The following is a 24,769-nucleotide window of genomic DNA, read 5'->3' as shown; positions in this document are numbered from 1 at the left end:
GAGAAGGGGTTTCACCGTGTTAGCCAGGATGGTCTCAGTCTACTAACCTCATGATCTGCCTGCCTCAGCCTCCTAAAGTGCTGGGATTACAGGCGGAGCCACTGCACCTGGCTAAAACCCAAAACTATAAAAACCCTGGAAGACAACCTAGGCAATACCATCCTGGACATAGGAATGGTCAAAGATTTAATGGCGAAGACACCAAAAGCAATTGCAACAAAAGCCAAAATTGACAAATGAGATCTAAATAACTTAAGAACTTCTGTACAGCAAAAGAAACTATCAACAGAGTAAACAGACAACCTACAGAAAGGGAGGAAATATTTGCATACTATGCATATGACAAAGGTCTGATATCAAGCATCTATAAGGAACTTAAATTTACAAGAGAAAAACAACCCCATTAAAAAGTGGGCAAAGGACATGAACAGACACCTCTCAAAAGGAAGACATACATACGGCCAACAAGCATATGAAAAAAAGCTCAATATCACTGATCATTAGAGAAATGCGAGTCAAAACCACCATGAGATACAATTTCACACCAGTCAGAATGGCTATGACTAAAAAGTAAAAAAAAAGAAAAAACACGTGCTGGTGAGGTTGTGGAGAAAAGGGAAGGCTTATACAATGTTGGTAGGAGTGTAAATTACTTCAGCCATTGTGGAAAGCAGTATGGCGATTCCTCAAAGAGCTAAAACTACAATTCAACCCAGCAATCCCATTACTGGTTGTAGACCCAGAGGAATGTAAAGCATTCTACCATAAAGACACATGTACACAAATGTTCATTGCAGCACTGTTCACAATAGCAAAGACATGGAATCAACTAAATGCCCATTTATCAGTGACAGACTGGATAAAGAAAATGTGGTACATATACACCATGGAATATTACGCAGCCATAAAAAATAATGAGATTATGTCCTTTGCAGGAACATGGATGGAGTTGCAGGCTATCATCCTTAGCAAACTAACACAGGAACAGGAAACCAAACACTACATGTTCTCACTTATAAGTAGGAGCTAAATGATAAGAATTTATGAACACAAGGAACAACAGACACTGGGGTCTACTTGACGGGGGTGGGTGGGAGGAGAGAGAGGAGCAGAATAGGTAACTATTGGGTACTGAGCTTAATACCTGGTGATATGATAATATGTACAACAAACCCCTGTGACATGTGTTTATGTAACCTTCACGTGTACTTCAAACCTAAAATTAAAAAAAAAGTAACATCAAAGATTACTGATTACAGAGCACTATAACAGATATAATAATAATGAAAAAGTTTGAAAAATTGAGAGAATTACCAAAATGTGACACAGACATTGAGCACATGCTGTTGATAAAAAGGCGCCAATAGGCTTGCTTGATGCAAGGTTGCCACAAACCTTCAATTTGTAAAAAAAAAAAAAAAAATGCAGTATCTATGAAGCAAAATACAGCAAAATGCAATAAAACGTGTGCCCATATATAATATTTTTCATTAATCATATGTGGTTAAGTCCAGTTCCTAAAAATCTAGTTTCTGCTCTCCTTTTGCAGTGTTTTCATGGAAAATTTGTGTTAATGGGAAAAGGTGAGGAAATTTATTTTATGAAAGGAAGTTGTTTTGGTCTAATGCCCTGTGTTATTGGGTGTAGATTTGTGGGAAACAGCAGCTATATGCAGACAGGTCAGCATGGCATGCCTCAAATGGGAACTCGGGATTGGCAGGATGTGAGTCTGAAATAGAGAAGTACATGAGGTGAGGGTTGGCTAGACTACTTCAGCAAAGATTCAGCAGTAACGCATTGTTTTATATCTGTGAGGTTAACAGTCCAAGGTAAGCATTCTGGATAGACAAGTGATCTGGTGCCCACTTGGTCCCTTCCACGGTATTGCTCTGCCACCCCCAGGGCATATATCAGCTGCGTGGCTGAGGGAAAACTGGGAAGTCCAGCAGCTGGGAAAGGGAGAGCACCAAAGGCCATGGCAAGGGGTCTTCTTTTAACCAAGGGATGCCAAAGTGTCCATGTCCCTTGTGGGAACATTTTGTGATGAATAGTCACTTGGCCATATACAGCATGTAAGGTGACAAATGTGATTTTAACTGAACAGCCTGGTGCTCTGGGAAGAAGGAAACAAGTTTAAAGGGGACAGACAGCAATTTCCACCTAATGTGGCTCTGTCGGGATCTGTGTGAATTGCACGTAGCATGTTTCTGTTACACCTCTGTGCCCAGCAACCATTTTCATTGGTTGTGCCAGTGAACAGGGGTAAATTTAATAAGAGCTAGCATGCTGTTATGCTCTCATAGAGTCAGGGCAGCTCTCAAATGGTCATGTTACATCTTGTGGCATGAGAATATTTTATTAAGCACTTCATAACTGTCTAGTTTTCACGTGTGGCTAATTGTAGTGTTCAAATACTATTCTTAAGTCTCACTACCAGTAACTTTTCCTCTGAATTAATTAGGTAACTGTATATTCCAATTTGGGAAATTATTTTTTGCTTGACCTCATTTCTGGTGGTGGTGCTAGTGAGCTGTGAATCTGTCACCAGGCAGCCTGCAGGAAAGGGATGCCAAACATGAAGCAAGAGGCCTATCAAAGACACTGAAATCTGCAGAGTGAACCACACTCTATACTAAGAGTTAACAATGTCTGCAAAGCAGTGTAAAATATCCTAGATATATATTGCTTTAGTTTAGGGCAATGTTTAAGAAATGCAGAATTGTTTGAATATTCATATATTTCATCTTTTGAAAGAATACTACATTGATTATGTAATTTTCTATTGGTATGCCAAAAAGTGTTCTTTATGTCTTCCTAATGTTCTGAAAGTATTTTTCTCCCTTGAGGGTTTCCTTACCCAAAAAATGGCCAGAAGCTGAGAGCATTGGCTTTGATTTTATCTCCACTAGCCAGGTCATGAACTAGTTATATACTTGCAGTATCTTTTTCATATTTCTTATAAAATGGGAAATTTAAGAAGGGTTACTTTGTAACAAGACTGAGAAAAGAATTTTAGGCTCTAAAATGATTTTCCATGATATCTGTATCACCTATTAGAGATCGTAGAACATCTGCGGAGACCTTGAATTTCTGTTACTGTGAATAACTATTTTCTTAGTCTTATTAGTGATAGAATTTGGTTGAGAAAAAATAAAAATTATGCTATCTCTAGCTAGTCATTAGGCGCATTGAATCCTTAGATCCCTTGGACCTCATGTAAGATCATAAAATCTTTTTTTTAAATATATTTTTATTTTTTAAAGAATCGGGGTCTCATTCTGTCGCCCAGACTGAAGTGCAGTGGCGCAGTCTTGGCTCAATGAAGCCTTGACCTCCTGCATTCAAGTTGTCCTCCAGCCTCAGTCTCCCAAGTAGCTGAGACTACAGGCACACACCACTATGGCCTGGCTAATTTTAAAATTTTTTTTGTAGAGGCAGGGTCATGCTATGTTGCTCAGGCTGGTCTCAAACCTCCTGGCCTCAAGCAATCCTCCTGCCTCAGTCTCCCAAACTGCTGGGATTACAGTTGTGAGCCACCACACCCAGCTCAAGATCATTCTTAATTGCAGAGTAATACCTTCTGAAGGAAAGAGGTGGAGGAAAAACTGGAAGGGGTAAGTCTTGCTGTGACAGTAAGTCTGAGCTGCTCCCCTTTGCTTGCTAGGTGGAGGAGGAACTGCAGGAGCAAGACTTCTTGGACCGCTGCTTCCAAGAGATGCTGGATGAAGAAGACCAAGACTGGTTTATTCCCTCACGAGACCTGCCTCAGGCCATGGGACAGTTGCAACAGCAGTTAAATGGACTGTCAGTCAGTGAAGGTCATGATTCTGAAGATATTTTGGTAAGAGCCATATGTAGTTCCCCAGGTTATGTAGTGAAAAGAATATAGGATTTGGAATGACAGACTTTCTTTCCAGCCCTACAACCCTCAACAAGTCTGGAGCCCTGTGAGCTGTTGTTTCTTTGCTCGTTTTATGGGCATTATTAATAAGGGGTGCATTAAAGATGCATTGCTCCTCATAAAGCACTATAAAACATTACTGTTGCCAGCATCACGGGCTTTTTACTTGCCAAGATTGGACGCCACCAACCTTTACTTTCTAATGGGCTCTTCAAAGTAGAATTGGGATTAAGGATAACAATTTGAACACTGAAGAAGTTTCTTCTCAAATATCATTTGTTGCTATTCTTCTCTTTTACTGTCCCTCAAATCTGTATTTAATATACTTCTAAATGATTCTGTTATAAAAATTAGCTGTTCATTTTGGAAGAAATGTACTCCTGAGAGGTCATTTTCTCCACTTAGAATTAGAAAACCAGATAAATTAATTTCCTGCCTTTCATATTTATGTAACATCAGAAGTCTGTGAGCAGGCTGGGCACGGTGGCTCACGCCTGTAATCCCAGCACTTTGGGAGGCTGAGGCGGGTGGATCACCTGAGGTCTGGAGTTCAAGACCAGCCTGGCCAACATGGAAACCCCATATCTACTAAAAAAATACAAAAATTAGCCAGGCATGGTGGTGCGCGCCTGTAGTCCCAGCTTGGAAGGCTAAAGCAGGAGAATTGCTTGAACCTGGGAGGCAGAGGGAGGCGGAGTTTGCAGTGAGCCAAGATTGCACCACTGCACTCCAGCCTGGGCAACAGAGCAAGACTGTCTCAAAAAAAAAAAAAAAAAAAAAGTCTGTGAGCAATATAGTTTTCATACAACTCATATTCTGAACAATCTTGCCCTGTGGTTTGCTAAGGTTTTGGATATTCACAAGAGAGTAGAGAACCAAAGAGAGTACAGAAAGATGAAGAAAAATAGAGATTGTGGTATCCAGCCTGGTCTGATGGAGTACCCTGGTTTTCACCAAGTTAAGGTACTCAGTGAATTGAAAAATTATTCTTGGAGTTGAACTTACAGGCCTCTGATGAGATTTTGGAAAGCATCAGGAAGGAAACAAGAGTCCAAAGAAGGAAGGAGAAGATGAGCTTGCTCAGGGCTATGTCAGGTGCAGTTGAGATAACCTAGCAATAACAGCCTGAGTTACAAGGAATTTTCTTTCTCTCCCTAAAGCTAAGGGGAAGGTACTGATAATGATGGACTGGGTAAGTTTTAAAATGCAGCTTGCCTTAGGATTTACTATCTCTTGGTTCTTATTTCAGAGCAAAAGTAACCTGAACCCAGATGCCAAGGAGTTTATTCCAGGAGAGAAGTACTGAGCCGAGAAAGCTTTGAGGAAGACTTGTCTGTCCCCACATCTGGGGATAGTAATGCACAAAATGGTGGAGCTGAAGAGGGGGATGGGGCGGGCGAGGGGTGCACAGCGGGAAGGGGAGTGGTGGTCTCACAATACTGTGACTCTGAGTAACTAATATGCTCAGTCTTATTCTAAGCCTCTGAGTATTTCTATTTTGTTCTGCTGACTTTTGTTTGGGGAGTTTCCTGTTTTGTTTTTTTAAATAGCTCTTTCGAGTTAAGGAAATTGCATTTTCCCCCCTTCATCAGAAGTGTTCCGCGGTGTGTATTTAAACAAAATAAGCTGACTAAGAAAAACTGGATATTTAGGAAATGCCCCTCTCACCCTGCTGTATACTTATCAGGGACAGTGAGCACCTGGAGAGCTTTTTGTGGAATCTATTGAGTTGGATGGGAAAAGGGACAAGCAGAAAGAGCAGGTGGTGCAAACTGGAATTTGAGGCTCAGCTGCCCCACCCCCGGGGTCTCCTGCAATGAACTCGGATAACCAATGTGCTGTCAAGCCCTTGCCTGTTTGTCCTGAACCCCATTCAAGAAAACACAGACTTAAAGTACTTAGTTTACAGTAACTTTTGATGATTGTTGAAAGTTGTAAATCAGAAGGTAGGGCTGTGATGGTGGTTGTCACTTGAGTCATTTAGTTACTGTTGTCCTGTTCATAAGCCTGTGTTCACCACCACCATCAGACTCACCATTTATAAGTAGAAGAGCACTAGGGTTGATCTGCCACCTCATCTTTCATGAAGTCTATTCCCCAGCCTCCTTTTTAAGAAAAGATACTGCTACCAAAGGCATAGGGGAGGCCTGCTGTGCTGGCAATTAGCATGAGCCTGCAGAAGTCATCCTTGAATCTGTTGTGTCTTAATTTTATTTGGACAGTTTTTTTTTCCAGCCTCATCAACACTTGGTCTTCCTGGTGTCTTAATTCCCTCAGACAAGTTTATGCACTTTTTTAAGGAAATATTTTTCAGGACACTAGTAAGAAGCTCAGTTCACAGTTTGGATATTTCTTCCCACATTACAGAATTATGGAAAGGAACTCAAAATCAGCCTAGGAAAGTGAGTCCTGCTTGACCCATGTGACTGTGTACCTGACCTTCTGGGATCTTTTCAGCTATTAAAACATTTTACTGTTCCCACATACCCAGCTTTGCAAGTTTTGTAGATTGACCTCTTAGGGTGTGTTTCTTTGTCTTTCCTGCCTTTAACTTGCTGGGGTCTTTTGTTGCTACCCCTAAGGAACTAAACTGGGTGCCAGGAGCTACCTTCGTGTATAGAGATGTAGATGGCAGTGTGGGGTACAGGAGAGCCATCCAGGCCATTCTCCCAGGGATGAGGAATTGGAGAGCCCTGAAGATAATAGTGGCTTCTTTCTGATTGCTACTGTGCTGTGTGATAGGCCTAATAGGGAAAAGATATGTAACTTGAAACAAAGTTGGTATAAATTCAGTATGTGGCTGTGGGACAGAGGTTGGAAGGAAAGGACTAGGGTATGGAAAGCTGAAGAAATTCTCCTTATGAGCTCTCGTTGACTTTTTGAACAGTGATAAGCTAATGCCAGATTTAAAATACACATTTTTTCCTATTTGAGTCTTTAGGATTATATCATTTGAAAAAATTGCCTTCCTTGTTAGGTCACATGTCATAGGAGAGTAGCTTAGAGAACTTGCATTACCAGACAGACACATTAATTCCCAAAGCCTCTATGTTGAGAGAATGAAACTGTTAACTCTTTTTCAGAGAGGACTATGAATAAAGAAACTTCTTTATTCAAGCTTCAGCTTTCAGCTGGGTTGTTTCCTCTAAAAGGGAAAGGGCATTGCAAGTGCATAGAGGAAATCTCTCCCTTCTGGGACTGCTTTTCCTCCTTCATCCTCGTGAGCCTGTCCAAGCTCAGAATTCCGAAGGCTGTTAGAAATGCGTTGGGATTGCAGAGAGAAAGGAGCTTGTCTTTCCTTCTGCTGTGCTGGTCTGTTTTGGATGTCAGTCTTCAGGACTATGAAAACTTCCTGCCAGTTTAGCATGGACACTGAGGGCTGGCATTTCTAGTCTTCTTCAGACACTGAACATACTGACTCCAGGTATAGGAAGCAGCTAGCAAATTGATTCTTTTTTAAATGCATAGGACTCTGCTTCCGGCGGTTCCTCTTGTAGTCCAACTCTTTTTGCCATCTATTTATGTTGGGAGGTAGGGGCACAATTGTCACTCACAACACAGGCTAGTTAGAGTTTGCTACCTTCTTAGCAGAAAATGCATGTGTGTCTTGTTGGACCTTCACTGGGGAAAGGCTGGGAGCCTCTGGCTGTCAGTGACTTTTCTCACAGAAGAAGAACCAGCAAGCCAGACTGGACACCTTTACCCTTTAATGGTAAGACTTGTATTTATAAGGGGTAATTTTGATGTTGAATTTAAGCCACTACTTTGTTTAAACTTTTTTAAATTGGCAACTAGAAGTTTGAGAATTTGTATAGAAATGGAACATGTATTTCTAACAGTTGCCAATCTGGCTGGTCCCAATGTTAGTTTATTAGTGATTGATCTGTAATTATTGGGATTATTTATTCAACTCTAAAATTCCAAGATGAAAATAATTTATCTCTTTCTTTTCAAGGGAAAAAACCCAAATGAATGCATTTTCAGTTTCTCCAGGCCTTTGAACTGCAGCAGAAAATTCAAGGATACAGCCTAGGCCTGGGCAAATGCAGCCCTGGGTCTTTGGGCCAGTTTCTGACAATAATAGTTGAGTTTTGGGAATCACATAAGGGTGAAACCAGAAACGATCCTAAGGAAAGGCTTGACCTTTGTTAACACCTTTAGTTTCCAAAGTCACAGCAGCTGGGGTCCCTCTTTTTTTTTTTTTTTTCTTTTTTTTTGAGACATAGTCTCACTCTGTCACCCAGGCTGGAGTGCAGTGGTATGACCATAGCTCACTGCAGCATCAAATTCCTAGGCTCAAGCAATCCTCCCATCTTAGCCTCCCGAGTAGCTGGGACAACAGGTACGCACCACCACGGCCAGCTAATTATTTTTATTATTTTTATTTTTTGTAGAGACTGGATCTTGCTCTATTTCCCAAGCTACTCTTGAATTGTTGTGCTCAAGTGATTCTCCCATCTCAGCCTCCCAAAGTGCTGGGATTATAGGCTGGGTGTGGTGAGCCACCCCAGCCTGGGGTCTCTTTAATTAAGGTTATAATGCTAACCATGGCTTAAAATACTAAGCAACATTTTCCAAATTGTTTATTACTATTGCTTTGATTTTGGAGAAGCTGGGAAGTAAGGAGGTGAGGTGAATACTCTGATAATTAACACGTGTTAGAGAGGAAAGTTGTGTGAAGAGGCTGCCAAAGTAAACAGCACGAATGAATCTTCTTGTACTAGGGCTGCTGCAAACCCCAGGTAGACAAATGACAGCCCAGGCTCCTGAACCATCAGGAACCCAGGAATCTACCCAACTGTGAGGAGGGGGCAGGCCTTCGTCAATAAGGGTCCCACCATCACGGGCTAATAATCTTTCTCAGTTTAGGTGATATTGAGGTATTGAAACTGTTAGAAATCTGACAGATTTGACCAAGATTTGGAGACGTCCACATAATTGGGAAGGACTGAGTGTCCCTAGCCACTCTCCTCTGGGATAACGCGGACGTCATTAGTTTGCGAAGTGGGTGGGGAGAACAGGAGGATTGACTCTAATTTGGTGTGTAGTGGGGGCCTTGATGTCCTTCTGCCTCTGTCCACATTTCCCCATGTGACTCATTGCACCCTGCATTGCTCACAGGGATCATTAGTTCTCCCGGTAGACAGAGCACCTCTGCAGCCTCTGCTCTGCTGCCTTGTGAATTTCCTACACAGACTTGGTTAGTTACAATTTGGAAACAGTTTTTTTGGGTTTTTTTCCTTTGTTTTAATCTTCTCACAATGAAGCTGCTATTGGTGACAGGGACAGGGGAGCAGGAAGCCAACCCAGGGAAACATGCGAGTTTCCTGCACACCACTTAGTCACCTGCCCTCACTGGCCAACCCCCTACTGCTGTTCCCAGTCAGTCTGGTTTTTAGAGGCATCGTGGCAATAGAATAGCTGGATACACTAATCTCTACAAGGTGTCAGGCAGGAGATTCACCTTCCCCAGTCCCAGGGGACAGGAGAGAAATCTGTAAAGGGACAGATGCACCATCTTTATTTCAAAAGAAAAAGCTCCCTCAGATTGTGTTACTAGGAGTCTCTTTTGTGACATTTACTGAGCTTTCTCCCCAATCTTACCTTCCTATTGGCTACTTTTTAAATAAAAATAAACATTTTAGGCTAATATGACAAAAATGAGATAAAATCTTAAAAACATTGTACTAGTGTACAGTTACTAAAATGTGCTTACTACAAAACAGTAAAATATTTCACTCTGTAAATCATCACTAAGTAGTTATTCTGTCCTGTTGATTATGAGCCTCCAAAAATGTTTAATGCTTGAAGGATGGTTTGGGAGGCAGGGAATCCTTTTCTTAAAACAACTTTAATGAGGCATATGTTACATATCATAAAACACCCATTTCAAGTGTACATTTCAGTGATTTTAGTAACTTCCCTCAGTGGTGTAGCTGTAACTATTACTCAGTTTTAGAACATTTTTATCCCTCCCAATAAGATCCTTCATGCTCTTTTACAGTTAATCCTGTTCTTACCCCCGGCAACCACTAATCTACTTTCTCTATAAATTTGCCCTTTCTGGACAGTTCAAATCAATGGAATCATACAATATGTGGTCCCTTGGGTCTGGCTTTTTTACTTAGCTAATGTTTTTGAGGTTTGTCCATGACAGATAACGTCTTGGTAGTTTGTTCCTTTTATTGCTGAGTAGAATTCTGTTGATGGATGTACCACATTTTGTCAGCAGAGAGCCTTTTAAACTTGGATTCCAACTTCCTGTTGTCTAAACGGAACCCTCCGAACGTAGGACTTATAGGGGAAGCTGCTGTGCATGTCAAAAAAACTACTAATCAGAATGAGCTTTGTCATCCAGAGCCAGAACTGCTGCAGAAATTTTTATAATTTTGCAACTTCTTTTTTTACAAGGAACTTTTGTGCTACTACACATCAGGACTTTTGAAGCATCCAATAAATCCATTTAATAAGTATGAGCATGTGTCTGAGTGGACAAGAAAGTGAAACCATCCATGCTACATTGGATAATTTTTCCTCCCCCAGACTGGACAGGGAATCTCAGCTTTCAAAACAGAGTAACCTGGCTCCACTTACAAAGCTGCACAGGCATTAAAGATCGTGCTGCCTTTGTTAGGCAGATTTGGAGGGGAGGCCCAACAGCAAAGATGGAGAGGAAAAAGGGAGTGGAGCTTGTGGAACAGGAAGCCCCCCAGGGTCTGTGCAGGGCTGCTCAGCTCTTGAGGATGTTGTGGATGGTGAAGTGGTGATGGTGTCCCGGAGCAGCCCAGCACCTCCACTGGGCCCAGAAGGTCTTGACTTCGGACACTTACCCCTGTTTCACAAGTGTTTATAAAGCTGTTTTTGCTTTTTTTCCCCTAATCATTACTTGGTAGTTATTAATCCTTCTTTGGGGGAGGGACAGGGCTTTAAAACTGAAGAAAATAATTTTCATAAAAATATCAAAAATGGAAAAAAGTTACTTTGTAAAAAATTTGCTATACAAACCAAATGGCAGCTGTTGAGAATCTCAATAAAATGTTAAATGCATTTGCTGGCAGTGGTACCCTTTTGCCTAAGGTTGGGTCACTGTGTTATACCGTGTGTGTTTGGGGTGGGGGGAGGTGTGAAACTTTTTGTCTCACACATAAGTTGTCTCATGGGTCATAATCTTAGTTGCAGTTTTCCTTTCAAATAGGGTTGCAAAGTAGAAAACATGGGCTTGGAAGTGACAGACCTGAGTGAATCCCACCTTCACTACTTTGTGCCATTGGCCTGCACTTTATTTACAAATAACCTCTATTTGTAAAGGTGCAGCACCTGTCCCCTGGAACTATAACGACAGATTTTTAAAATACTGCCTGGCACATAATAGGCACTTAATACATGGTCGCCAGTAGTGGCAATTGTTATGTCCAACTTTGAACAAAGAGGCAGTGACATCTTTGGGCTAGAAGGGAAACTAGGCATTTGTTTTCCAGTTTCTGGGCAAAACTGACTACCTACCTAGAAAACAAGTATTCCGTATCTGCCTTTCAACTATTGAACAAGTTTGAGAGTGTGCTACATGTCAAGCATTCTCTTAGGGACAGGGGCTATGAGGGTTACCAGGCCCATTTTTTCCTCCCCCAGACTGGACAGGGAATCTCAGCTTTCAAAAGAGAGTATCCTGTCTCCATTTACAAAGCTGCACAGGTATTAAAGATTGTGCTGCCTTCGTTAGGCAGATTTGGAGCAGCAGCCACGTCCCTGCTGTTGTGATTATGGTTTGCTGATGCCTAATTATTTCAACTTAAACCTTGCTCAAATCTCCCAGTGATTTCTTGAGGGGCTTTATCATATGGTTAAAAAATTATATGGGACTAGCCTAGGGCCCATGGGTTTTGCTGAGCCCTATCATTTCTTTGCCTCCTTCCTAAAAGCAGAGGGTGGAGGTTGGGGTATTCTGAGCTTGCCTATTTACAGCTTTTTAAAATAGTATAGTTATATGTAGTTTTGTGTATATAGAGTTTATTAGAATGTAACTTTCTTGAAGAGGTGGATGGTGTATTCATTTTAAAAATTACATTAAAGATAAAATTTCATTAACTTAGTTGAAGTATGATGTTACAGAAAGGTACAGATATTTTGTGTGCAGTTCCATGAATTTTCACTACTGGGAAAAACGTGTACTTATTTTTAATCCCTAGAGTACTCATCACACCTACAAGACATTCAGTAAATATTTGCCGAATGAATGGGACAGATGAGGCTGTACTATCCCTGAGATCACACAGGGAGATAAGGCAGTGCTAACCTCATTCCAATGCTTGTTCTAAGTTCTCTTGTCTCATCACAGGGCTGTTGCAGGCTCAGATGAGATGAATGTATACATCTCTAATGCCTTGGTAATACAAAATCCCATGGATAGCTCCTGATAGTTTGTTGGGGAAAGGACACTAAGTTTAAAATTAAAGGGGGAGAAACTCAGCAAAAATCACTTATGGGCTGGGCATGGTGGCTCACACCTATAATCCCAGCACTTTGGGAGCCCAAGACAGCAGGATTGCTTGAAGCCAGGAGTTCGAGACCAGCCTGGGCAACATAGCAAGACCTGTCTCTACAAAAAAATGACAGAATTAGCCAGGCGTGGTGGTACATGCCTATAGTCCCAGCTACTTGGAAGGCTGAGGTGGGAGGATCACTTGAGCTCAGGAATTCAAAGCTGCAGTGAGCTGTGATCATGCCACTGCACTCTAGCCTAAGCAAAAGTGAGACCCTACCTGTAAAATAAAAAAAAATTTTTTTTTTTTTTTTTTGAGACAGAGTCTCACTCTGTTGCCCAGGCTGGAGTGCAGTGGCGTGGTCTCGGCTCACTGCATCCTCTACCTCCTGGGTTCAAGCAATTCTCCTGCCTCGGCCTCCTGAGTAGTTGGGATTACAGGTGCCTGCCACCACGCCCAGCTAATTTTTTGTATTTTTAGTAGAGATGGGGTTTCATCATGTTGGCCAGGCTGGTCTCAAACTCCTGACCTCGTGATCCACCTGCCTTGGCCTCCCAAAGTGCTGGGATTACAGGCATGAGCCACCGCACCGGGCCTGTAAAATAAAATTTTTAAAAATCACTTGTGATTTTCTGCACTGCAGCCTGTCTAATAGAGGCTTAATAACTGGGGAGTAAGGGACCTCATCACATCTCCTAAATGTGACAGGAACTAGGAACACATCTGACCTTATGCACTTTAATACTGCCTTTTTTCAGCATTTTTTTAACACGTATGCTGGGACTAAAAAAGTCAAGATGTGCTCCTCCACTAAAACCTCCACTGTCCAATTGGAATTGCAGTCTAGACAATTCTAAGGAAAAGTGATGACCATACTTTGAAGAACATAAGTAGATCTCAGTAGTTATAAACTCCAATTTATAAGCATTTGGCAAATAAAATATTTACATAATATTTAAAGCATTTGGTGAATAAAATATTCACCAAAATGCTGTTTGATCCTCATCCTGAGAGCATATTTTTAAAAATCTCCAAAGCTCACCACTCATTAATAACCTAACAGTTTTTCAAGACTGTGGGATATAGCAAAGATGCCTCTGCTGTGTCCTTGTTCTCTCTGCAAGCTTTTTACCAGGTGCTGGACTGGAGACTTGCTGAGTGCTAGACCACAGTGATTTGGTCATAGCTGGATGTGAAGATGGCTGGCTGTTCTTTCAGAAGAGACCTGGCTGGAGTTCTTATTGCTCAAAGCTCCAGCTTGCAGCACTGGGCTAGAGCTGATGGGAGGAGAGCTGTTACTATTCTGTTCTACGTGAATGCTACACTGTGAAAGAACAGCATCATCCGACTTGGGCAACAAGGTAGTATTCAAGATGTCTTCGAAGGCCTAATCAGAACTTACCAGCTGTAGCATAGAGCTCCCTCAAGTGCAGATACTGGACCTCTGCAGCAGAAATTACTCAAGCTGTTTAGTATAATAGAAATGAAAATTCCCCATCCCATCCTTAACCTATTATCATCAGATACCTTAGGGCAGGGGAGGGGAGTAGACAGAAACCCTGTTTTAAAACAAACTCTAGAATAACTGATGTCTGTAAGTTGGAGAACTGATGTGCAGGACATGATCCACATGCCTCTAATAAAACACCTGGAGAGGCAGCTATTGTGGATCGAGACTCCTGTCCTTAGTCTTCACCAAGCAGCACAGGCTGTGGAACCGAAGCTTCAGGTTTGCCTTCACTGGCTGAACTATGGTATCCAGAGGACAGGAATCATGTCTGCTCCTCACTGATGCTCCTCATTCCCAGGGACACACAACACATAGTGTCACGCTGTAAGCAGAGCCAGGCTAGTAGCCAGGAATAGGTCGGCCACCGAGGTGAGCGGTATCTAGTTGGTTTTCTTGGATCTCAGCCATCCTCATAACCTTTCAACAACTCATTCATAGGAGAAACTTCAAAATGTCCTGCTTACCTGCAATTACTAAATCCAGTGAGGCAAAGATGCTCCCAGTCTAGAATTGTACCCTAGCCCTTATGGAGTCTCAGGAGAGGGTGTGATATGCCTAAGGTACTCTCTGTGATGTTCTGCATGGCGAACACTTGTTTCTGGTGACTGTGGTCACCAGGGATCGTTACCTACTTGACACGACAGGAGAAAACAGGTCACAGATTAACTGGCAGCCACACAGTGCATATGTATGGTAGTGTGGGGGGAAGGGTAGCACACAGACAAATCATCTGCCCAAGTGCATGCTGAGTGGATGCAGATCACAGGCCGAGCACCTGGGGGCGGGGCTTTAAATCTTGGACTAAATTCACTCATGAGCCCTCCAGGATATCTGCTGGCAGGTGCACGGAGGATGTACACAGCGCCTGTGTTTGATAATGCAGTCCAATTGGGGAGTGGATAAAGTGCGTTTATTTTCTTCTATGTTTGTTTTTGTAAAAAGGAGAAAGGAAGCAAAAGACTCCTTCCTTCCAGACCCAGTGTCCACTGAGCTTGGAGTAGGTGGAGCCGGGACCAGCCCCCTAGGAAAAGGTGTAGGAATAGAAGGCAATGGCATTGGCGCTATAGTCCATGGGGAGGAGGTGCCCGATGTGCCTGGCCCCTAGGCTGGCCCCACCCAGAGCGGAGGAGTGCCTCAGCTTCATCAGGGTGAAGCTGGAGAAGAAATTCTGAGCCTGGATCTCTTTGCCCTGGGTCAGCGCCGAAGAAAACCTTTAAGGCTGTTCCCTTCCGCCGTGATTGTAAGTTTCCTGAGGTCTCCCCAGCCATGCTTCCCGAATAGCCTGCAGAACCAGGAGCCAATTAAACCTGTTTCCTTTACATATTACCCAGTTTCAGGTATTTCTTCACAGTAGTGTGAGAACAGACTAATACAGGTACTCAATAACTTGAGTAGGTATAGGGATGAATAAATGAATAAAGTGAAACAGTTAAACACTGCGGGCTATCAGAGGAGAGGACTTACTCCTGGAAGCCATCATCAGGGATGGCCTTTATGAGGAGTCTTTGAAGGACAGAGAGGATCTGGACAGGCAGAGGAGAGGGACCTAAAGACCTCAAAAGTGGGATCATAAAGGCATTGGGGACAATGAAGATGCCAGTCCGATCAGAGCAGAGGTTCCACAGAGAGGCAAGAAATGGCCGTATTTACAAACCAGAGAGAAAGATTTGGTACTGCTGGTCCTAAAGGGATAGGGATGGACTTGACCTTTTGAAATGATTCAAAACCAAATGGTCAGTGCCAAGTTTTTACAATGCAAGGTCCAGGGCTGGCCACTCAAAGGTAAAGCCTTTGGTTGAAAAGTGATAGTGCTGACCAGTGTAATTAATAGAACAGCGTCTAAGAGAGGTGTGTTCTCACTTGTGCATGCTGGAGAAGGAAGGGCTCTTAAAAATGATCTGGTCTAACTCACTTATTTGGCAGAAAGAGAAACAGAGACCAAGAGAAGGGAAGGCCGCCAGACAGAGGCAGTGGCAGGACTTGAATTTGGAGTCCTGTGAGATGTGCTGCCTGTGCTACCTTCCTGACTCCTCCTCCCCAGGGCAGCCAGGAAGGTAGTTTGCATTTCTCAGTTAAGCTGTTCCCAAGGAAATGGCTCAACCCAGACCCCATAGTCCCTCTGGCAAACACTGAAGGTATTATGTGGGGTTCAGCCCCATGGGTGATATTCTGTTCATGTAGAATGTGTCTGACCTACAGTCACATCGGGATCAGAGAAGGCCTTGTGTGCCTGCCAAGAGCTGGAGCTTTATCAGGCAGAGGGAGGTCTCTGGGGAGAAGGAGAAATGCAGGGCCTGGGGGCACACCCTGCTGTTGAGGAAGCTGGTCTGTGGCAGGTGGTCTGGGGGCTCCCTACTTGCACATCCAGGTGGTCCTAAAAGGGGTACGTCCCATCTGACTTTCTCCAAAAAGAGTTTGATTTCCTTTCCCAGTGCTGAGCTTGTTTCTGCCTTGACACAGTGACAAAATTGTGTTCCTTTCACCTGGGACTGGAAATCATTGAGCAGCAGGAGCAGCAATTTAAGAAGAAAAGGCTGGCAAAGGGAATGCAGCACTGAACTACCCAAAGACCAAAATCCTTTTGTGGCCTTCAAGGCCCCTGGTGTCTGGCTGAAAGGGAGAGCACAAAGATGTGCTGCTGAAGGTCTGTGCTCCCATCACATCTCTGCTATCATGCTACTATGTGCAAGCACTCAACCTCTCTGAACCTCAGTTTCCTCATCTGTAAATTGAGGAGAATATCACCACCCTCCCTGGGCTTATGGGAGGTTCAAACGAAGTTCAGCTCTACATAGATATTTGTCACTGATTTGCAGTCTTTCTCAACTGATCCCCTGCAAGCCCTCAGTTCCTTATCTGCTGGGCCTGGAGTTGAAAGGAACAATGAGGAGGCAGCTGAGACTTTCTGCAGAAGTGCCCCTGGATAGCAGAATCAGAGTATGACCAAAAAAGGTCCTCAGTGATAAAGGAGAATGACAGAAAGAAGGGGAGAAGGAGGAAGGGAGGTGGGTTTGGGAGGGTGTGCAAAATCCATTTATTCATCTCTCATTTATTTGAGCCTACTGTGTACCAAGCACCATGCTGGGCCCTGGGGACTCAGATGAACAAGATTCTCATTCATTCATTCATTTATTCAACATACAATTATTAAGGGACTTGTATGAGGCTGCCAGGTGCTGGCATAGAGAGGGAGTCAGGCAGGCAAATGAGCAATTGAAATGCAGGCTGGTGAATAGCCTAAGACAGGATATACAGAGGGAGGCAAAGGGCATTGCAGATGGAGGGAGGCCTCCTATTCTGAGGCTGCAAGGAATGCCCCAAGGCTGGAAGGGACAGTATGTGTTGTGGTGAGAGGGGAGCCTGGAAAGGCCAAGAAAGACCCTGAATGCCACCAAGAGTTTGAACCACATGTACACAGGGAGCCACTGAGCAGCTTCCCAAAGGGAAACACCAGACTCAGATTCCAGTTTGGCTACAGTGTGGCCAAGTGAAATGGAACTAGTGGATGAAGCAAAGAGGAAAGGAAGAAGGGATGAGACTCTGGAGATGGTTGGGAGGACTGGGTGACTGATTGGCCTTTATGGGGTAGGGAGAGGGGACAGGCAGCCATGCAGCCTGTATTCACTGAAATGTTAGCAGAGCATGGTATGGGGGAGTGGAGGGGTGTGTGGGCCATCTGAGTGGACGTGTTCAGTGGACATACCAGAGCTTGAGACTGATTGGAAGTCATCAGCACATTAATCCATGTCTCTCAATACTGCCTGCCTATCACAGGCCCCAGGGAACTTATTAACACATGGGTTCCTAGGCCCTCCCCAGGCACACTGAATCAGAATCTCTGGAGTGCGGCCCAGCAATGTGTATATTGCAGCTCAGTGTTCCTGGTCTTTGTGGTTGTGTAGAGGATCCCCAACCAGGCACAGGTTCAGTGATTGGCTATAAAGACCCAAAGGACTTAGAAAAGCCATTATGCCCACAGTTATGGATCATTACAGTGAAAAGATACAGGTTAAAACCAGAAAGGGAAAAGGGAGAAACGAGGCACTAGTTTCCAATTATCCTTTCCCAGTGGAGTTGTACAGACAATGGTTAATTCTCCCAGCGATAATGTGTAACAGCACATGCTAAGTGTTGTCAACCAGGGAAGCCCAACCAAGCCTTAGTGTTCAGGGTTTCTCTTGAGGGGTCAGTCATGCAGGCATGCAGCTCCTGGGGGATTGACCCCAGCTACTCAGGCTTCAGCCCCTAGAGAAATCAAATTGATACAGCAAGGCCCAAAGCCTCAGGCTTACAAAAACATTGTTAGAAGGCAGAATATTCCAAAGGCTTAGAGATCAAGCACCTCTCAAAAGCTGGTCAAGGACCAGTCCTTTTTTTGGGATGTGCAGGGTTGTTAGAGCTAACCAACACTTTACTGTCCAGTGGTCTATATTAGAATGCCCTGAGGAGCTTCCAGAGTGCTCTATGGCCAGGCTGCATCCCAGACCAATCACTCAGAGTCTCTGGAGGGGGGTGTGTGGGTCTGTCCAAAGTCAAGCCCCACTGCCATAGATTGTAATTGGTACCAAAGGAGGGAGTGAGCTCATCCCCGAGTGAATGAGGAGAGAGTGCTCACAGATGGAAGAGATGGCCAAGAACAGTGGACTAAGGAGCAGCACAGGCTGCAGACTGCAGGAAGGATGGCACACAGGGAAGGAGCGACCCAAGAAAGAGGCAGAGAACCAGGGTCCCCATGGTCTGGACAGCAAAGAGAGTGAGCAGGCAGTCAAGTCACTTAGGTGGCCTGGTGCCTTAGTCAGCTCAGGCTGCTGTAACAAATTATAATGAATTGCCAGGTAGCTTAGACAGTAATTTATTCCTCATAGTTCTAGAGGCTGGGAAGTCTGCGATCAGGCTGCCAGTATGGTTGGGACTGGATGAGGACTCTTTTCTTGGTTTCTCGTAAGGACGCCTCCTTGCTATATCCTCACATGGCAGAGAGAGAGAGAAGGCATGCTTGCTTATGTTTATTCTTATAAGGGCACTAATCCCATCATGCAGGATACAGACATTCAGTGCATAGCACCTGGGAAGGCTCAGTTAGGTCCAGGGGTAGGAGCAGGGTGCCAGGAAGAGCAAAAATTTCTGTCAGTCTACCACTCTCCTCCTCTTTCACCTCTACTTCCTCCTCCTGCTCCTCCTCCTCCTCCTTCTGATCCCCTCCCTCCTTCCCCTCTGCAGCTCTCCACTCCCCTCCTAGACTTTCTTGATAGAACCAGAAGGGAATGCTTGAATTGGCCTGGACTGCCCAGCCTGTACGGTTCTGGGAGTGGGGTGGGTGGATGGAGTGACCTCCACAGGCCCTCCCAGCTCTGCCCTTCTGTGGTCCTGTGGTTGTGACTGGATCTCCAGGATGGACGTTGACCTTTCCAGGTCTAAGCACTGAAGATGCTTTGGTGCTTCTCCCCAGGAAGAAATTCAAAATAAAAGCAAAACCACAAACCACACAACTTTTATATGCACGCTAAAAATAAAATGGCTTTTTTGTTAAATTTTCCAATTGCAAAAGTCTGAATATTTGAAAGCTGTACCTCCTTTGCCCTCTTTTGAGTCTTGCTCTGTCACCCAGGCTGGAGTGCAGTGGCTAGATTCTGCTCACTGCAACCTCCGCCTCCTGGGTTCAAGCGATTTTCCTGCCTCAGCCTCCAGAGTAGCTGGGATTACAGGTGTGTGCCACAACGCTGGGCTAATTTTTGTATTTTTAGTAGAGACGGGGTTTCACCATGTTGGCCAGGCTGGTCTCAAACTCCTAACCTCAGGTGATCTGCCCACCTTGGCCTCCCAAAGTGCTGGGATTACAGGCGTGGGCCACCACATTCAGCCCAAGCCGGTTCTTTTGTTAACCCTTTGTTCTGTGATCTTTGTCACGCCATCTCTTTTCAAAAGCTGTGTGCTATGTTTTGTTGTTATTGTTGTTGTTGTTGCTGTTGTTGTTTGAGACAGGGTCTCCCTCTACCACCCAGGCTGGAGTGTAGTGGTGCGATCTCAGCTCACTGCAACCTCTGCCTTGAGGGCTCAAGTGATCCTCCCACCTCAGCCTCCTGAGTAGGTGGGACTATAGGTGTATGCCACCATGCCCGGCTAATTTTTGTATTTTTTATTGTAGAGACAGGGTCTTACCATGTTGCCCAGGTTTGTCTCAAACTCCTGGGCTCAAGCAATCCTCCTGCTTCAGCCTCCCAAAGTGCTGGGATTATAGGCATGAGCCACTGTGGCTTGCAAAAGCTGTGATATTTACGGGTTGGGGGGAACATCAAGAAAGTAGAAGCTTGCTTGGCTTGCTGGATCTTGGGAGATTTTGTTGCCATCCTAAGTCTTGGGCCTCTCTCACCTGGAGCTACAGCAGACATTTCAGCCACACCTCACAATCCTGATTTCAGCTCTCCCCTCTGCCACCACATGACAACCAGGAGCTTCATTAGAAAGCCTTAGCCTGACATTGTAACCTTTGCCCTGCATTGGGCAATGCCTCCCCGGGAGCCTCCCACCCTCCACTGGCCTCTATTTGTGACATTCACCTTAATGTTTGAGTGCCAAGTTCCTCCCTCTTGGTGTCCCACATCAACAAATCAGATGAATACAAAAAAAATTACATAATTCCTATGAGCCAACCAGGGGGAAAGTGAAGACCAACCATCTAAGGAAATGGGGGGTGGATTATCTATCACCCCTGGTTCAAGTCAATTAAAGACATACAGACTGATCATGGATTCAAATATGGCCTGATCTAGAAGTGTGGGGAAAAAATGCCAACTCTATCAGCTTTGTCCTCAGAACCTGACACGAAAGCAGAGTTCACATCTACTGTCCCGATTCTGACGGAGGCCACCTGTGGTAGGCAGTTCCACTGGTTTGCGCTGCGCATGTATGAATATAGCCTCCAGATCTCCCCCAGCTTCCCACCCTATCCTTCATGCAGAGGTCACTATATGTTTGGATAGATGCCAGGGTGCCACGCGGCCATGTCTGCCAATGGGCAGGGGGACAACTATGAAAAGGCTCTGCACTTGGGGCCCTCAGGGGTACCACTGGCTCCATGAGCCTCCTATGGCAGGACAGGCTGATCCTGGTGTGCAAAGCCTGGTCATCTCACTTCCATTCCTATTCTGGGCCAAGCACTCCTGGGGCCTCAGTCTCCTGCCCCTGTGCCAGCCTATGGGTGGTAGGATTCTGAGGTCCATGCTGGGTTAGAGCAGTAGGTCTCAGCCAGGAGATATTGTCACAACTAGGGAGAAGGTGCTGCTGGTATCTAGTGGGTCAAGGTCAGGGATGCTACTAAACATGCTACAGTGCACAGGACAGCCCTCAGAACAGAGGTCTATCTAGTCCAAAATGTCAAAGAGAAAGCCTGGGTTATGGGAAGGGGTGTCCTCCAGAGAGCATGGCCTTAGATTTTCAGCCCCTCTAAGAATGAGATGTTCCTTGTTTATTTTCTCCATCTCTCATTGGCCTAGTTGTAGGGGAGGGAAGAGTTAGACCAGGGTAGGATCCAAGCACTCCTGATCCTCTGAGCCAAATATGGTTCTCCAGATAGCACAATTTCCTCTAAAAATGCAGTCCGAGATGGAATGGGTAAGAAACCTGCTTCCTTCCATCTTCTAGTACATTGGCTTTAAAAACTCATCGTAAAAATATGAAAAAGACATTTACTGTAGCACTGTTCATAACTGAAAAAGATAAAAAAAAAAAACAAAAAACCTAAATGTCCACTTAAAAGGACCGGATAAATAAATTATGATACATTCATGCAGTGGAATTATATGCAGTTGTTAAAAGAGTGAGGTAGCTCTAAATATAATGATATGAAACAATCTCCAAGACATATTATTAAGAATCCCATGGCCAGGCACAGTGACTCACACCTGTAATCCCAGCACTTTGGGAGGCCCAGGTAGGAGGAGGGCTTGAGCTGAGGAGTTTGAGACCAGCCTGGGCAACATAGTGAGACCATATCTGTACGAAAATAAAACAATTATCTGGGCATGGTGGTGCACACCCGTGGTCTCTGCTACTTGGGAGACTGAGGTGGGAGGATCACTTGGGTCCATGAGGTCCAGGCCGCAGTGAGCTATGACTGTGCCACTGCACTCCAGCCTGGGTGACAGAGCAAGACCCTGTCTTGAGAAAGAAAAAGGATACCAGCAAGATGCAGGAACAATATGCCTGGTGTACTAATACTTGTATGAAAATATTTTAAAATACTATGTAAACCTAGATGCTGAGTGTGAATTAGACACGCTCAGAAAAGACACTGGTTGTCTCTTGGGAGGGGAGCTGGGGCTGGGACGGGGAAGGGATAGAAGAGAGATTTACTATTCACTCTAGGTCCTTTGCAGAATCATCATTGTGGTATGTTTCATTGAATAGAAGTTTAAATACCTTACTGAAGTCAAATCTATCACCATTTTTCTTTTGAGCTTACACTTTTAATATTTTTTTCTTGAGACAGAGTCTCGCTTTGTTGCCCAGGCAGGAGTGCAGTGGCTCAATTATAGCTCAATGCAGCCTCAAACACCCAGCCTCCAGGGATCCTCCCACCTCAGCCTCTTGAGTAGCCAGGACTACAGGCATGCAGCAGCACACCCAGCTAATTTTGCACATATATATACACACACACACACACACACACACACACACACACATATATATATATATAGAGAGAGAGAGAGAGAAAGAGAGAGATGGGGTCTTGTTGTGTCACCCAGGCTGCTCTGGAACTCCTGGGCTCAAGCAATCCTCCTGCTTCAGCCTCCCAAAGTGCTGGGATTACAGGCGTGAACCACAACACCCAGCCACTTTCAGTATTTTATTTAAGAAATTACTTTCTACATGTTATGGACTGAATGTTTGCGTCCCCTCAAAATGTATATGTTGAAATCCTAGCCTCCAATATAATGGTGTTAGGAGGGGGGGCCCCTGGGAAGTAATTAGAAGGGAGGAGCTCGCATGATGGGATCAGTACCTTTATAAGGAGAGATTCAGGAGAGTTTCTTCCTGTCTTTCTTGCTCTCTGCCGTGTGAGGATACAAGAAGATGGCCCTCTGTGAACCAGCAGGTGGGCCCTCCCCAGGAACCAGCCATGCTGGCACCCTGATCTTGGACTTCTAGCCTCAAGAACTTGGAGAAATCAATGTTTGTTGTTGAAGCCACCCAGTCCATGGCATTTTGTTAGAGCAGCCCCAACTAAGACACTGCTCCAATCATAAGGATATCCCCCTACGATTCCTTGTAATTGCTTTCAAAGTTTTGCTTTTCACAGCTAGATCTTTAATCAACCTGGATTTTATTTTTGGTATGATGTGAACTAGGGATCTAGTTGTATTTACTTTCCATATGGAAAATCAATTGTGCCAACACCATTTGTAGAATATTCCATCCTTTCCCCAACAATCTACAATGCAACTTCTGTCTCATTCCAAGTTTCCATGTGTCATGGGTCTTTTGCTGGGTTCCTGTTCTCTTCCAGTGGTCGATTTGTAAATCCCCTTGACAACACATCACTGTCCTAATTCCTATGACATTATAGTATGCACACAAATCTTAAACGTTCCATTACCCACCGACCTCTATGTTACTCTCATTCTTTAAAAATATTTTCACTTGTGGCTGGGCATGGTGGCTCTCACCTGTAATCCTAGCACTTTGAGAGGCCAAGGTGGGCGGATCAAGAGGTCAGGAGATCGAGACCATCCTGGCTAACACGGTGAAACCCCATCTCTACTAAAAATACAAAAAATTAGCTGGGCATGGTGGCGGGCACATGTAGTCCCAGCTACTCGGGAGGCTGAGGCAGGAGAATGGCATGAACCTGGGAGGCGGAGCTTGCAGCGAGCCGAGATCGCACCACTGCACTCCAGCCTGGGCGACAGAGTGAGCCTCCATCTCAAAAAAAAAAAAAAAAAAAAAAAAATATATATATATATATATTCACTTGTGTTCCACTAGAAGCAGAGCCTGAGTCAAGGATTTGGGTGCAAGCATTTTTTTAGAAGGTGATTCCAGGAAGCCCAGGTAAGAGGGTGGGAAGTGAAATAGGTAAGGGAAGAAAGCTAACAGACAGTGCATTAACGAGCAGGTTGCCACAAAGGGTAACTGGGGTTCAATCTCACTGGGCCCTTCAAAGTTATTCCAACTGAGGGGTGGGGAAGCTGCAATATTTATCCACCAACTCTCATTCCTCATGGCTGTTTTAAAATGCACTGAACATTTATTTTAATCAGATATGGTAAGACACACAGACATGGACATGACTGTCCTGAAGGAAAGAGTTTTTTTATACTCAAAGTTTCCTAGAAACAAGAGCCACGGCATGCTATGCAGGGATACATAGGGAGGCACCAGGGTTGGTCAAGAAGTCAAAGGAGTGAGGGGAAAACATGGGCAAGAGCTTTATTTGTGGCATCCAAGGGAAAGGCAAGGTAAGCAGGCACAGGATTAGCTATTAATAGTTTGAATAATTTCATTCCGCTCTGGGGCCTAGGGCTCTCCCCAGTTGTCTGGCTCATGGCCCTGGGATGATGAGGGCAGAGGGACAGTGGCCCAGTGTAAGAGCCCGATGAAGGAAGTGGTTGGGTCTACGGGCTTTGGATTGGCTGGTTTGCATATGGGAGGTGCACTTGCAGGTGAGTCCTTTACTATCTCTAGGAACTGGCTAGCCCTGGGAGGAGCATTCTCTCCAGGATCAGCAAGGCTCCAGCTGTCAAAACATCAGGAAATACAGGAAATGAAAAGGAATGATGAATACATTGAGTGTGCTCTTGAAGGCATGTATGTGGCTGGCAATGCTGAGGGCTATGGGGAGGGCACCAATGGTGTCTGCTACACTATTCTTGGCCCCTC

At 44.5% G+C, this 24,769-nt stretch overlaps 1 protein-coding gene across 4 annotated transcripts in view, besides 2 other annotated features; it reads left to right on the top strand.

The window, feature by feature from the left end:
• PAIP2B (poly(A) binding protein interacting protein 2B) overlaps positions 1-10,948 on the top strand; it is a 44,366-nt gene extending 33,418 nt beyond the window's left edge. For all 4 annotated transcript variants that reach the window (NM_020459.1, XM_005264311.5, XM_005264310.5 and 1 more), the window contains 2 exons: positions 3,665-3,841; positions 5,151-10,948. In NM_020459.1, the coding sequence (NP_065192.1) occupies positions 3,665-3,841; positions 5,151-5,207 (234 nt within the window). In that variant the 3' untranslated portion in view covers positions 5,208-10,948. The remainder of the gene's footprint in view (positions 1-3,664; positions 3,842-5,150) is intronic.
• Positions 8,722-9,221: an enhancer, noted in NCBI's record as "H3K4me1 hESC enhancer chr2:71411595-71412094 (GRCh37/hg19 assembly coordinates)". NCBI's record gives its function as "activates a minimal SCP1, AML or CMV promoter by ChIP-STARR-seq in primed H9 embryonic stem cells {active_cell/tissue: H9 hESC(primed)}" and the evidence as "EXISTENCE:reporter gene assay evidence [ECO:0000049][PMID:30033119]".
• Positions 9,222-9,723: an enhancer, noted in NCBI's record as "H3K4me1 hESC enhancer chr2:71411093-71411594 (GRCh37/hg19 assembly coordinates)". NCBI's record gives its function as "activates a minimal SCP1, AML or CMV promoter by ChIP-STARR-seq in primed H9 embryonic stem cells {active_cell/tissue: H9 hESC(primed)}" and the evidence as "EXISTENCE:reporter gene assay evidence [ECO:0000049][PMID:30033119]".
• Positions 10,949-24,769: the final 13,821 nt, after the last annotated feature.

The sequence above is a fragment of the Homo sapiens genome, chromosome 2 (genome assembly GCF_000001405.40).
Source record: "Homo sapiens chromosome 2, GRCh38.p14 Primary Assembly".
Classification (NCBI taxonomy): Eukaryota; Metazoa; Chordata; class Mammalia; order Primates; family Hominidae; genus Homo; species Homo sapiens.
The sequence above is the reverse complement of the archived record's forward strand: the minus strand, read 5'-3'. Positions and strand labels throughout refer to the sequence as shown.